At 48.0% G+C, this 13854-nt stretch overlaps 1 pseudogene; it reads left to right on the top strand.

Moving 5' to 3' along the window:
- On the top strand, positions 644–942 carry RN7SL621P (RNA, 7SL, cytoplasmic 621, pseudogene; annotated as a pseudogene).

Here is a 13854-nt window from a genome sequence, read left to right as displayed (position 1 = left end):
CAGCAGCCAAGCAAGACAAGCCTGTGATCCAACCCAGTTCAGGGCACACAGGTGAATGATCACAACCTCAAAAATACCAGAACTGGAAGGAATCCAGGAGAACTTCTAGTTTGGTGATTTTTGGACAGTGCTTGACAGAGCCCTAGTATTTTAAATAACTTTCAAAGGGGCCACTGATGTGGAATGGGGACAGAGAGAGAAATCCTACTGTGATTCAAACAAAGCAGGTCTATTTTTATTTTTTACTGTATTTTTAAAATTATTTTAGAGACAGGGTCTCACTTTGTCACTTCGGCTGGAATGGGAGTGCAGTGATATAATCCAAGCTCACTGTAGCCTTGACCTCCCTGGCTCAAGCAACCTTCCCGCCTCCGACTGCCAAGGAGCTGGGACTACAGGTGCTCACCACCAAACCCAGCTAATGCTTTTATTTTTGTAGAGATGGGATCTCACCAAGTTGCCCAATCTGGTCTCAAACTCCTAGCTCAAGCCATCCTTCTGCCTCAACCTCCCAAAGTGCTGGGATTACAGGCATGAGCCACCATGCCTGGATATTTTTATTTTTTATACATACAGTTTGTACATTTCACCTCAATTAAATATTTAAATAAGTTAATTAAATTAACTATATTACTGCACATGAGCCGGGTGCAGTGGCCCATACTTGTGTCCCAGCTACTCAGGAGGCTGAGGTGGGAGGATTGCTTGAGCCCAAGAATTCTAGGCTGCAGTGCGCTATGCCAGTTAAATGTCTACACTGAATTTGGCATCAATATGGTGACCTCCCAGGAGCTGAGGGCTATCAAGGTTGCCTAAAGAGGGATGAACTCACCCAGGTCAGAAACGGAGCATGTCAAAACTCCTGTACTGATCAGTAGTGGGATCATGCCTGTGAATAGCCACTGCATTCCCGCCTGGACAACATGTTGAGACCACATCTCTTTTTTTAAAAATGACTGCATTAAAAGACTAAGCTACAGGTCATGCGTAGTAGTTCACACCTGTAATCCCAGCTCTTTGGGAGGCCGAGGCAGGCAGATCACTTGAGGTCAGAAGCTCAAGACCAGCCTAGTCAACATGGTGAAACACCATCTCTACTTAAAAAAAAAAAAAAAAAAAAATGGCCGGGTGCGGTGGCTCACGCCTGTAATCCCAGCACTCTGGGAGGCCGAGGCAGGCGGATCACAAGGTCAGGAGATCGAGACCATCCTGGCTAACACAGTGAAACCCCGTCTCTACTTAAAAAAAAAATACAAAAAATTAGCTGGGCATGGTGGCGGGTGCCTATAGTCCCAGCTACTCGGGAGGCTGAGGCAGGAGAATGGCGTGAACCCGGGAGGCGGAGCTTGCAGTGAGCCGAGATCGCGCCACTGCACTCCAGAACTCCAGCCTGGGAGACAGAGCCAGACTCCGTCTCCAAAAAAAAAAAAAAAAAAAAAAAAAAAAAAAAAAAAAATTAGCTGGGCATGGTGGTGGGCACCTGTAATCCCAGCTACTCTACTCGGGAGGCTGAGGCAGGAGAATCGCTTGAACCAGGGAGGCGGAAGCTTCAGTAAGCCAAGATCCCGCCATTGCACTCCATCCTGGACAACAGAGTGAGACTCCATCTCAAAAAAAAAAAAGGTTAAGCTGGCCGGGCACGGTGGCTCACGCCTGTAATCCCAGCACTTTGGGAGGCTAAGCCGGGTGGATCGCCTGAGGTCAGGAGTTCAAGACTAGCTTGGCCAACATCGTCTCTACTACAAATACAAAAATTAGTGGGGCATGGTGGTGGGCGCCTCTAATCCCAGCTACTAGGGAGGCCGTGGCAGGAGAATTGCTTGAACTTGGGAGGCAGAGGTTGCAGTGAGCCAAGATGGCACCATTGCACTCCAGCCCGGGCAACAAGAGCAAAACTCCATCGAAAGAAAGAATGAAGAAAGGAAGGAAGGAAGGAAAGGGAGAGAGAGAAAGAGAGAGGAAGGAAGAAAGAAAGGAAGAAAGAAAGAGAGAGAGAGAAAGAAAGAAAGAAGAGAAAGGAAAAGGTTAAGGTACAAAAAAAAAATCGAAAATCACCAATCTTATTCTTCACTTTATAAATGAGAAAACTGAGATACAAAGGCGAATAACTGGAAGTCACAGAGAAAGTAAGCAAACCAGGACTCAAGTATGGAGAAATTTCTAGGCATCCACCAGATTCCATTCTCCCCTTCTTCCTTTTATTGAAACACCTGCCCCAGGCTTTAACCAGACACATAACTATTGGGCTAGAGACCACAGTCCACAGCCTCCTTTGCAGTGACTACATTCTCAGCAATGTGAATGAAAATAATGCTCTGTTTCTTATAAGGAAAATGCTGTTTCTTCATTCTTTGGTATCCTTCCTTTGAGTTGGGACATAAAATATCTAACTGTTGAGATAAGATAAGACCAGACCTTATGAACAAGGAACACGTCTCAGGACACACCCACATAGAAAAAGAACCTGGATCTCCCGAAGGCTTTGTGAATCAGAACCACCTCCTTGCCCTGCACTTTCTACTTTCTTTGGAATATTTATGAGACAGAAATAAACTGGATTGTTGGAGCACTCTGGTATTTTTACGTCTGTTTGTTACAGTAGCTATATCATTTATCAATTGCTAAGTAACAAATTACCCCACAACACAGTAGTTTGAAACAAAAAACGTGGGAGGCCCAGGCAGGAGGATCACTTGAGGCCAGAAGTTCAATGCCAGCCTGGGCAACATAACAAGAACCCATCTCTTCAAAAAAAAAAAAAAATTAAAAATTAGCTGGGCATAGTGGCTTGCACCTGCAGTCCTAGCTACTCAGGAGGCTGAGGCAGAATGTTTGCTCAAGCCCAGGAGTTTAAGGTTGCAGTGAGCTATGATCACACTAGTATACTCCAGCCTGGGCAACAAAATGAGACCTTGTCTTAAAAATAAAAATTGGCCGGGCACAGTGGCTCACACCTGTAATCCCAGCACTTTGGGAGGCCAAGGCAGGTGAATCACCTGAGGTCAGGAGTTCGAGACCAGCCTGGCCAGCATGGTGAAATCCTGCCTCTAATAAAAATACAAAAATTAGCTAAGCGAGGTGGCGGGTGCCCGTAATGCCAGCTACTTGGGAGGCTGAGGCAGGAGAATCGCTTGAGCCTGGGAGGTGGAGGTTGTAGTGAGCCCAGATCATGCCACTGCACTCCAGCCCGGGCAACAGAGCAAGACCCCGTATCAAAAATTCATAAATAAATAAATAAAAATTAGGCCTGGTGCAGTGCCTCACATCTGTAATTCCAGCACTCTGGGAGGCTGAGACTGGTCGATCATTTGAGGCCAGGAGTTCAAGACCAGCCTGGCCAACATGGTGAAACCCTGTCTTTACTAAAAATACAAAAATTAGCCTGGCATGGTGGTGCATGCCTGCAGTCCCAGCTACCTAGGAGGCTGAGATATGAAAATTGTTTGAACCCAGGAGGCAGAAGTTTCAGTGAGCTGAGACTGAACCACTGCACTCCAGCCTGGGCAACAGAGTGAGACTCTCTCTCAAAAATATAAATTATACAATTAATTAAAATTAAAATTAAAAAAATTTAAAACCATTTCTTGTCTCATAGTTTCTGTGGGTTAGGAACTGAGGAGCAGCTCAGCTGCCTCAGGATCCCTTCTGAGGCTGCAGCCAGAGTATTGGTGGGGACCACAGCCATCCAGAACTGCTAGCTCAGGACTAGAATATTCACTCCCACGTTCATCCACTCTGGCTGCTGTCAGAGACCGCAGCTCCTCATCGCGTGGCTTCTCCACAGGTGAGTGTCTTTGTGAGGCGGTTCTTGGCTTCCCCCAGAGCAAATGACCAGAAATAAGGAGTGGCCCAGAAGGAAACTGCCGTGCATTTTTATAACCCAGTCTCCAGTCCCAAGTCAAGCACTGTCACCTCCCTTTCATTCTATTTGCTAGAAAAGTCGCCAAGTTCTTTGTAATCCCATCACCTTGGGAGGCCAAGGTGGGAGGCCAGGAGTTCAAGACCAGCTGGGCAACATAGCAAGACCCTATCTCTCCAAAAATCAAAACAAAATAAACAGCTAGGCATGGTGGTACACACCTGTAGTCCTTGCTACTCGGGAGCCTGAGGTGGGAGGATTGCTTGAACCCAGAAGTTGGAGGAAGCAGTGAGCTAGAATTGAGCCACTGCACTCCAGCCTGGGTGACAGAACGAGACACTGTTTCAAGAAAAAAAAAATTAAAATTAAAAACAAAAAATACGGCCGGGCACCGTGGCTCATGCCTGTAATCCCAGCACTTTGGGAGCCTGAGGTAGGCAGATCACCTGAGGTCGGGAGTCCGAGATCAACCTGACCAAAATGGAGAAACCCCATGTCTACTAAAAACACAAAATTAGAGGTTACAGTGAACCAAGATCGCGCCATTGCACTCCAGCCTGGACAGCAAGAGTGAATCTCAAAAAAAAAAAAAAATTAAAAATTAAGAATTAAAATAAATTTCTTTTTTAAGAAAAAGTCACCAAATCCTGCCCAAGCTCAAGGGGGTGAGAACTAGGCTCCACTTTTTAAAGGGAGGAGTATCAAAGAATGTGTGGACATATTTTAAAACAACCGTAGTGGCTCAGCCTGTATCCTAACTATCATTATTAACTCAACTTTTTTTTCTTTTTTTGAGACAAGTTCTGGCTCTGTCCCCCAGGCTGCAGTACAGTGGTGCCATCTTGGCTTGCTGCAACCTCCACCTCCCAGGCTCAAGTGATCCTCTCATCTCAGTCTCCAGGGTAGCTGGGGCTACAGGCGCATACCGCCACAGCCAGTGAGTGAGTGAGTGAGAGAGAGAGAGAGAGAGAGAGAGAGAGAGAGAGAGAGAGAGAGTGTGTGTGTGTGTGTGTGTGTGTGTGTGTGTGTGTGTGTGTATCTTCTTTTGTAGAGATGGGGTTTTGCTATGTTGTCCAGTCTGGACTCAAACTCGTGAGCTCAGCTGGGTGCAGTAGCTCACACCTGTAATTTCACCACTTTGGAAGGCCAAGATGGGCGGATCACCTGAGGTCAGGAGTTCAAGACCAGCCTGGCCAACATGGTGAAACCCTGTCTCTACTAAAAAAAAAAAAAAAAAAAAAAATACAAAAATTAGCTGGGCATGATGGCGGGTGCCTATAATCTCAGCTACTCAGAAGGCTGAGGCAGGAGAATCGCTTGAACCTGGGAGGCAGAGGTTGCGGTAAGCCGAGATCATGCCACTGCACTTCAGCCTAGACAACAAGAGCAAGACTCCATCTCAAAAAAAGAAAACAAACAAAAAAAAAAACCACACACTCCTGAGCTCAAGCAATCCACCCGCCTCGGCCTCCCACAGCACTGGGATTATAAGGATGAGCCATGGTGCCCAGCCTAATCCATAACTTTTACAGAATTTTTTTTATTCTGCATCCTAATTAATACGCTAAATCTACCAACTCCTATCCCAGTGCATATTCTGAGCCATAATGCTTCATGATGTAGTTCAAGGACAATAATAACATCACTGGGGGCTTTTTATGTGCCAGGCACATGCCAAGCATTTTCAAACATTTTGTGCCTCATGAGAACCTCTGTGGTAGATTCTACGACAAGCCTTATTTTTTTTATTTTTTATTTTTTTCCAGTTTCAGCCCAGGCTGAGTTCCAGCCCAGGCTGGAGTGCAATGGCACGATCTCGGCTCACTGGAACCTCTGCCTCCTGGACTCAAGCAATTCTCCTGCCTCAGCCTCCTGAGTAGCTGCGATTACAGGCATGCACTACCATGCCTGGCTATTTTTTTATTTTAGGTAGAGACGGGGTTGCGCCATGTTGACCAGGCTGGTCTCAAACTCCTGACCTCAGGTGGTCCACCCGCCTCGACTTCCCAAAGTGCTGGGCTTACAGGCGTGAGCCACCGCGCCCTGCCGACATGCCTTAATTTTGTAGGTGAGGAAACAGGTTTAGCAGAGTACATACCAGTCCACACTCCTACACTTTACTTTTTTTTTTTTTTTTTTTGAGAGTCTCACTGTGTTGCCCAAACTGGAGTGCAGTGGCATTATCTTGTGTCCGGAAGTGGTGGCTTCTTGGTCTCACTGACTTCAAGAATGAAGCCGTGGACCCTCGCGGTGTGCGTTACAGCTCTTAAGGTGGTGTGTCTGGAGCCTGTCCCTTCTGATATTCAGATGTGTTTGGAGTTTCTTCCTTCTCGTGGGTTCGTGGTCTCGCTGGCTCAGGAATAAAGCCGCAGATCTTCGCGGTGAGTGTTACAGCTCTTAAGGCAGCGTATCTGGAGTTGTTCCTTCCTCCCGGTGGGCTTGTAGTCTCACTGGGCTCAGAAGTGAAGCCGCAGATTTTCGCGGTGAGTGTTACAGCTCATAAATACAGCATGGACCCAAAGAGTGAGCAGTAGCAAGATTTATTGCAAACAGCGAAAGAACAAAGCTTCCACAGTGTGGAAGGGGACCCGAGCACGTTGCTAATGTTGGCCCGGGCAGCCTGCTTTTATTCTCTTATCTGGCCCCACCCACATCCTGCTGATTGGTAGAGCCCAGTGGCCTGTTTTCTCAGGGCGCTGATTGGTGCGTTTACAATCCCTGAGCTAGATACAAAAGTTCTCCACGTCCCCATCAGATTAGTTAGATACAGAGTTTCCACACACAGGTTCTCCAAGGCCTAGAGCAGCTAGATACAGAGTGTCGATTGGTGCACTCACAAACCTTGAACTAAACACAGGGTGCTGATTGGTGTATTTACAATTCCTGAGCTAGATATAAAGACTCTCCACGTCCCCACCAGACTCAGGAGCCCAGCTGGCTTCACTTGATGGATCCCGCACAGGGGCTGCAGGTGGAGCTGCCTGCTAGTCCTGCGCCGTGCGCTCGCATTGCTCAGCCCCTGGGTGGTCGATGGGACTGCGCGCCGTGGAGCAGAGGGTGGCGCTCGTCGGGGAAGCTCGGGCCGCACAGGAGCCCATGGAGTGGGTGGGAGGCTCAGGCATGGCGGGCTGCAGGTCCCGAGCCCTGCCCTGTGGGAAGGCAGCCAAGGCCCGGCGAGAAATCGAGCGCAGCGCCGGTGGGACAGCACTGCTGGGGGACTCGGTACACCCTCCGCAGCCACTGGCCCGGGTGCTAAGTTCCCCATTGCCCGGGGCCAGCAGGGCTGGCTGGCGGCTCCGAGTGCGGGGCCCACCAAGCCCACATCCACCCAGAACTCCAGCTGGCCCGCAAGTGCCGCACACAGCCCCGGTTCCCGCTCGTGTCTCTCCCTCCACACCTCCCTGCAGGCTGAGGGAGTGGGCTCCGGCCTTGGCCAGCCCAGAAAGGGGCTCCCACAGTGCAGTGGGGTACTGAAGGGCTCCTCAAATGCCACCAAAGTGGGAGCCCAGGCAGGGGAGGTGCTGAGAGCAAGCGAGGGCTCTGAGGACTGCCAGCACGCTGTCACCTCTCAATCTCACCTAGCTACAACTTCCACCTCCCAAGATCAAGCAATTCTTGTGCCTCAGCCTCCCAAGTAGCTGGGATTATAGGCACCTGCCACCATGCCTGGCTAATTTTTTTATTTTTAGTAGAGACAGGGTTTTTTCACCACATTGGCCAGGCTGGTCTCAAACTCCCAGTGGGTGATCCACCCACCTCGGCCTCTCAAAGTGTTGGAATTACAAGCATGAGCCACTGTGCCTGGTCCCAAGCCTTACTCTTTTTTTTTTAGATTTTTTTTTAAAAATTATACTTTAAGTTCTGGGGTACATGTGTAGAATGTGCAGGTTTGTTACACAGGTATACATGTGCCATGGTGGTTTGCTACACCCATCAACCCATCACCTATATTAGGTATTCCTCCTAGTGCTATCCCTCCCCCAAGCCTTACTCTTAATCACTGAACTAGTGCTGGGGAAAATGTGTGCTTTATGGAGAGAGACTGAGATTGGTTGGAGTTCTGGCACCAACACTTAAGAATTGTCTGATTTTCGGCAGGGCATCATGGCTCACACTTGTGATCCCAGCACTTTGGAAGGCCGTGGTGAGTGGATCACCTGAGGTCAGGAGTTCAAGACCAGCCTGGCCAACAGGGTGAAACCCCATCTCTACTAAAAATACAAAAATTAGCTGGGCGTGGTGGAGGGCACCTGTAGTCTCAGCTACTTGCTTGGGAGGCTGAGGCAGGATTATTGCTTGAACCCAGGAGGTGGAGGTTGCAGTGAGCCAAGATGGTGCCACTGCACTCCAGCCTTGGTGACAGAGCGAGACCCTTTCTCAAAAAAAGAAAAAAAGAATTATGTGATTTTTCTTTTATTTGCTCATCTTTGTTAGGCAAGAATTATGTGATTTTTGGTGAAACCTAGTCTTCTTGGGCTTTGATTTTACCTTATAGAAAAATAGAAAAAAGATAATCCCTTAATGGTTATGATAAGGAATAAATAAAACTATCCAAAGACCTGAGCACAGGGCTTGGCACAGATAGGGGTGGTCAGTAAAAGGTGGTCTTCTCCTCTCCTTCACTTTTTTCTCAAATCTCCACTCTCATTCATACATGAGATGGTTCAGCTGTGGCCAGACTGTTGGCTTCGTTCCAGAAAGCAAAACGTAGCAGGACTATGCGGAATTCCTGGGAAACCAGGTACGCCTGAACTCCATAGCCTTTGTTTCCTCCCAGCCTCTGCTGACACTTAGGAAAAGCATCAGAGCATTCCCTAAAGAAATACTTTAATTAATAAAAGCCCCTGGCACCATCCCAGAACTGCCCCAGCTTCTGGAGAGACAAAGTGTTTTCCTCCTTAGTCACACCAATGCCTTTTTCTCTGATTGCACTTTCCACGTGGTTTTCGAGCTGACAGGAAGGGTGGGAAATTGCTGCTTTGCTTTCCTGGAGAACCACAGACTAGGACCTGGGGGCATTGCTGGGTAGATTATGAACACCTTTGGCCAAGAGTTGCATCGATCCCCTAAAAAAACCTAGGTACTGGCCAGGCGCGGTGGCTCATGCCTATAATCCCAGCATTTTGGGAGGCCGAGGCAGGCGGATCACCTGAGGTCGGGAGTTCGAGACCAGCCTAACCAACATACGAAAAATACAAAATTAGCCAGGCGTGGTGGTGCATGCCTGTAATCCCAGCTACTCAGGAGGCTGAGGCAGGCGAATCACTTGAACCCGGTAGGCGGAGGTTGCGGTGAGCCGAGATTGCGCCATTGCACTCCAGCCCTGGGCAACAAGAGCAAAACTCTGTCTCAAAAAAAAAAAAAAAAAAAAATTCCTGTTACTGAGACTTCTAGGGTATCTGGACAGAAGAAGGCTAGATCTTCCAAGAATAAAAATTGCAGCCGGGGAGACAGAGCAAGATCCTGTCTCAAAAAAAAAATAAAAAGAAAACGCGAAGGCTTCATTTGCCCAATATACAATGCACGACTCTCAACACCTTCAAAGAATTACATGCCCCTCCCATGAAAACGCTTCTTTTTTTTTTTTTTTTTTTTTTTTGAGACGGAGTCTTGCTCTGTCGCCCAGGCTGGAGTGCAGTGGCGCGATCTCGGCTCACTGCAAGCTCCGCCTCCTGGCTTCACGCCATTCTCCTGCCTCAGCCTCCCAAGTGGCTGGGACTACAGGCGCCCGCCACCACGCCCAACTAATTTTTTGTATTTTTAGTAGAGACAGCATTTCACTGTGTTAGCCAGGATGGTCTCGATCTCCTGACCTCGTGATCCGCCTGCCTCGGCCTCCCAAAGTGCTGGGATTACAGGCGTGAGCCACCGTGCCTGGCCTGAAAATGCTTCTTATACAAAATTTAAAAGTTTGGGAAAATATTGTCACAATTTGTCTAATTCTGAAACATGACATGTTTACTTGGGGTTATTTATCGTTTTTTTGGTGGGAGGGCAGGGAACTGGGTCTCACCCTGTCACCCAGGCTGGAGTGCAGTGGCACAATCTCAGCTCACTGCAACCTCTGCCTCCCAGGCTCAAGCCATCCTCCTGCCTCAGCTTCCTGAATAGCTGGGACTACAAGTGCACTCCACTATGCCCAGCTAATTTTTGTACTTTTTGTAGAGATGGGGTTTTGCCATGTTACCCAGGCTGGTCTTGAACTCCTGAGCTCAAGTGATCTGCCTACCTTGGCCTCCCAAAGTGCTGGGATTACAGGCATGAGCCATGGCCCCCAGCCATTTATCATTTTTTACAACCATCCATGGTTACCATTCTCTGCTACATTATCGGGTCACACTTGGAGGCCCATGAAAGAGGGTGTCTTACTAAAGATGAAAGGAGGTGATTCAGGCCTTTTCCCCCATGCACCTCCACAGAATTGACTGCTTCTCTCCAGAGTGTTTCTCTAATGTTCACAAGGCCTTAAAATGAGGGGGCTCACGGAGTGTCTAAGAGGAAGCTGGAGTCAGGCAGTGGGAATAAAAAGAATCCCTTGACTCCTCAGAAGCTTTCCTAGGCCAGGCACGGTGGCTCCTGCCTGTAATCCCAGCACTTTGGGAGGCCAAGGCTGAGGGATTGCCTGAGTTCAAGAGTTTGAGACCAGCCTGGGCAACATGGCGAAACCCCAGAAAATTAGCCAGGCATGGTAGTATGCGCCTGTAGTCCCAGCTGGTCGGGAGGCTGAGGTGGGAGGATCGCTTGAGCCTGGGAGGTGGAAGTTGCAGTGAGCCGAGATGTCACCACTGCACCACTGGGTGACAGAGCAAGACCCTGTATAAAAAAATTAATTAATTTTAAAAAAAAGTTTTTCCGGAAGTTTAGTATTATTTTTTCCCTTTCCATGGAAGATTTTAAAACATATTTCTTTCTTTTCTTTTCTTTTGTCTTGCTCTGTTGCTCAGGCTAGTGTCTAGTGGCACAATCATAGCTCACTGCAGCCTTGAACACCTCAGCCTCTGGAGTAGCTGGGACTACAGGCATGTGCCGCCATGCCCAGCTGATGTTTATTTTTTGTAGAGATGGGGTCTTGCTATGTTGTCCAGGCTGGTCTCCAACTCCTGGCTCAAGCTCCTTCACCTCAACCTCTCAAAGTGCTGAGGTGTGAGCTACCACACCCATCCTAGAAACATATTTCTACCTCATATTTATCAAGTAGCTTTGAATATATGGCCCATCATCTTCTTTACTGTTTCAGTTTCTTCCTCAATAAACCAAACTAGTCTTCCTGACTCATGTGGAGCTGAGTCACCTGGTGGTGAGGGTGGAGGAGTGAGAGATCTAAATTTGGTTGACATGGTGTGAGAAATCAGCTTATCTTTCATAGAACCCTTCAGTCCAGGAAAATGCTGGGACTGAACCAATCATTTCAAAGATGCCCAGAACCAAAGCCCTTCTACCAACATATAACTCCCAATGTCAGCCATCAGTTGAGGTCCTGTGGCCACACTGGCCAGGAGGGACGAAGGGAGGAGAGTGTGAAGGGATACAGCAGTTTTTCGAAATTGGAGTCCTTAAGTGCCTCTGGAGATCTTATTGAATGCTTAAAATATCAGGCTTAAAATATAAATTGTTGCACCTGTAATCCTAGCTGCTCAGGAGGCTGAGGCAGGAGAATCACTTGAACCTGGGAGGCGAAGGCTGCAGTGAGCTGAGATCAAGCCACTGCACTCCAGCCTGGGCGACACAGAGCAAGACTCCGTTTCAAAAAAAGAAGAATTTCCATCATTCCTACCTTTAAGGGTGTTTTCCTTCCAAGAACCTCTAGTCCAAAGGCGAGTGGGACGGGAGGTGTTCCTCACTTCCCATCAATTTTCCCTTCAAAGGCTCTCCTTCTTTCACAGTCTGGCGCTGGAGGCAGTTAGCAGGAGAGCCTTAATAAAATTAGGATTACCCATCACATCTCTCCCCCGAGCCAATGAATAGAAAGAACAATAGTTACCATTATGCACACTTTTTTTTTTAAAGACTTTATTTTTCAGCGTAGTTTTAGGTTCACAGCAAAATTGAGAAGAAGGTACAGAGTTCTGATACACCCCCAGCCCCACACATGTATAGCCTCCCCCATTAATCCTAGCACTTGGGAGGCTGAAGCAGGCAGATAGCCTGAGCTCATGAGTTTGTGACCAGCCTGGGCAACGTGGCTAAACCCAGTCTCTACAAAAAAAAAAAAAAAAAAAAAATTAGCCGGGCATAGTGGTGAGTGCCTGTAGTGCCAGCTACTCAGGAGGCTGAGGTGGGAGGATGGCTTGAACCCAGGAGGTGGAGGTTGTAGTGAGCCAAGATCATGCAACTGCATTCAAACCTGGGCAACAGAACCAGACCTTGTCTCTAAATAAATAAAAACAACAACAAAAAAGAATATACACAGCCTATGTTCAAGGAAGAGTAACAACAAAAAGCTTCATGGCTGATGAATAGTGTGTGGTGAAGGGGAGTATTTGAGTATGAGGAAGACTGAAACAAATAAGGCTAGACTGAAACACTTTATTTTAATAGTTTTTTCTTTTTTCTTTTTGAAACAGAGTAGTCTCATTCTGTCGCCCAGGCTGGAGTGCAGTGGCACAATCACAGCTCACTGCAGCTGCATCCTCGACTTCTCGAACTCCAGTGATTCTCCCACCTCAGCCACCAGAGTAGCTGGGACCGCAGGTGCGCACCACCAGGCCCAGCTAATTTTTGTATTTTTTTTACAGGTGGCTTCACCATGTTGCCCAGGATGGTCTCAAACTCTTGAGCTCAAGCAATCTGCCCGCCTCAGCCTCCCGAAGTTTTGAGATTATAGGAGTGAGTCTAGACTGAAACATTTTGAATGCCACACTCTAGTTTACAGAACTTTATTCAGTAAACACTGGAGACCAACAAACGTTATCAAGCAAAGAAATGTTCAGATTTACATTTTACAGAGATAATTGTGACCAGAAGGGATGGACTTGAGAGTGAAATCAGAGCACTGTTTCTTTCAATAGCCGCATGAGAATTTGAGGGGTGGGGAAGACAAGGCACATTAAAATGAAAATTTCTGGGTCCACCCTTTATTGAATCAGAATCTCTGGGTTCAAGGCCTGGGAATCTGCATGTTACATCTCAAACATAGGAGTGATTCTTGTAGGCTCTGAAGTCTGAGCTATAGACTAGAATCAGAATGGCCAGTTAGGAAGCTTTTGCAATTATCCAATTAAGAAATGAAATGTCCTGGGTGCCATGGCTCATGCCTGTAATCCCAGCAATCTGGGAGGCTCAGGCGGGAGGATCACTTGAGTCCAGGAGTTCGAGACCAGCCTGAGCAACATAGTGAGGCCACTCATCTATACAAAACAATTAAAAAGTAGCTGGGCTTGGTGGCAGGCACCTGTGGTCCCAGTTTCTTGGGAGGCTAAGGTGGCAGGACTGCTTGGGCCCAGAAGTTGGAGGCTGCAGTAAGCTATTATTGCACCGCTGCACTCCAGCTGAGTGACAGAGCAAGACTCTAACTCAAAAAAGAAAAAGAGGGCCGGGAGCGGTGGCTCACGCCTATAATCCCAGCACTTTGGAAGGCTGAAGCAGGAGGATCACTTGAGGCCAGGAGTTCGAGAACAGCCTGTCCAACATGGCGAAACCCCGTCGCTATTAAAAATACAAAAATTATCTGGGCATGGTGGTAAGCGCCTGTAATCCCAGCTACTCAGGAGGCTGAGGCAGGAGAATCACCTGAACCCGAGAGGCAGAGGTTGCAGTGAGCTGAGATCGCGCCGCTGCACTCCAGCCTTGGCGATAGAGGCAGACTCTGCCTCCAAATACATAAGTAAATAAATAACAGATCTGTAGGCGGAAAACAATGTGGCAGTAATTGTTCCTTTGCCTTGGTGTCCCTGGGCAAAAGGCAGGCCCCCACTCCGGGGCATCGCTCGTCGCCGCTCCATTCTCTGCAGACCGAAGTTTCCCCAGGCCTGGGAAGACTAAGTGGGAGGCGCCCA

Source organism: Homo sapiens, chromosome 8 (assembly GCF_000001405.40).
Source record: "Homo sapiens chromosome 8, GRCh38.p14 Primary Assembly".
In the NCBI taxonomy this organism is placed as follows: domain Eukaryota; kingdom Metazoa; phylum Chordata; class Mammalia; order Primates; family Hominidae; genus Homo; species Homo sapiens.
This window is presented reverse-complemented; position numbering and strand designations above follow the sequence as displayed.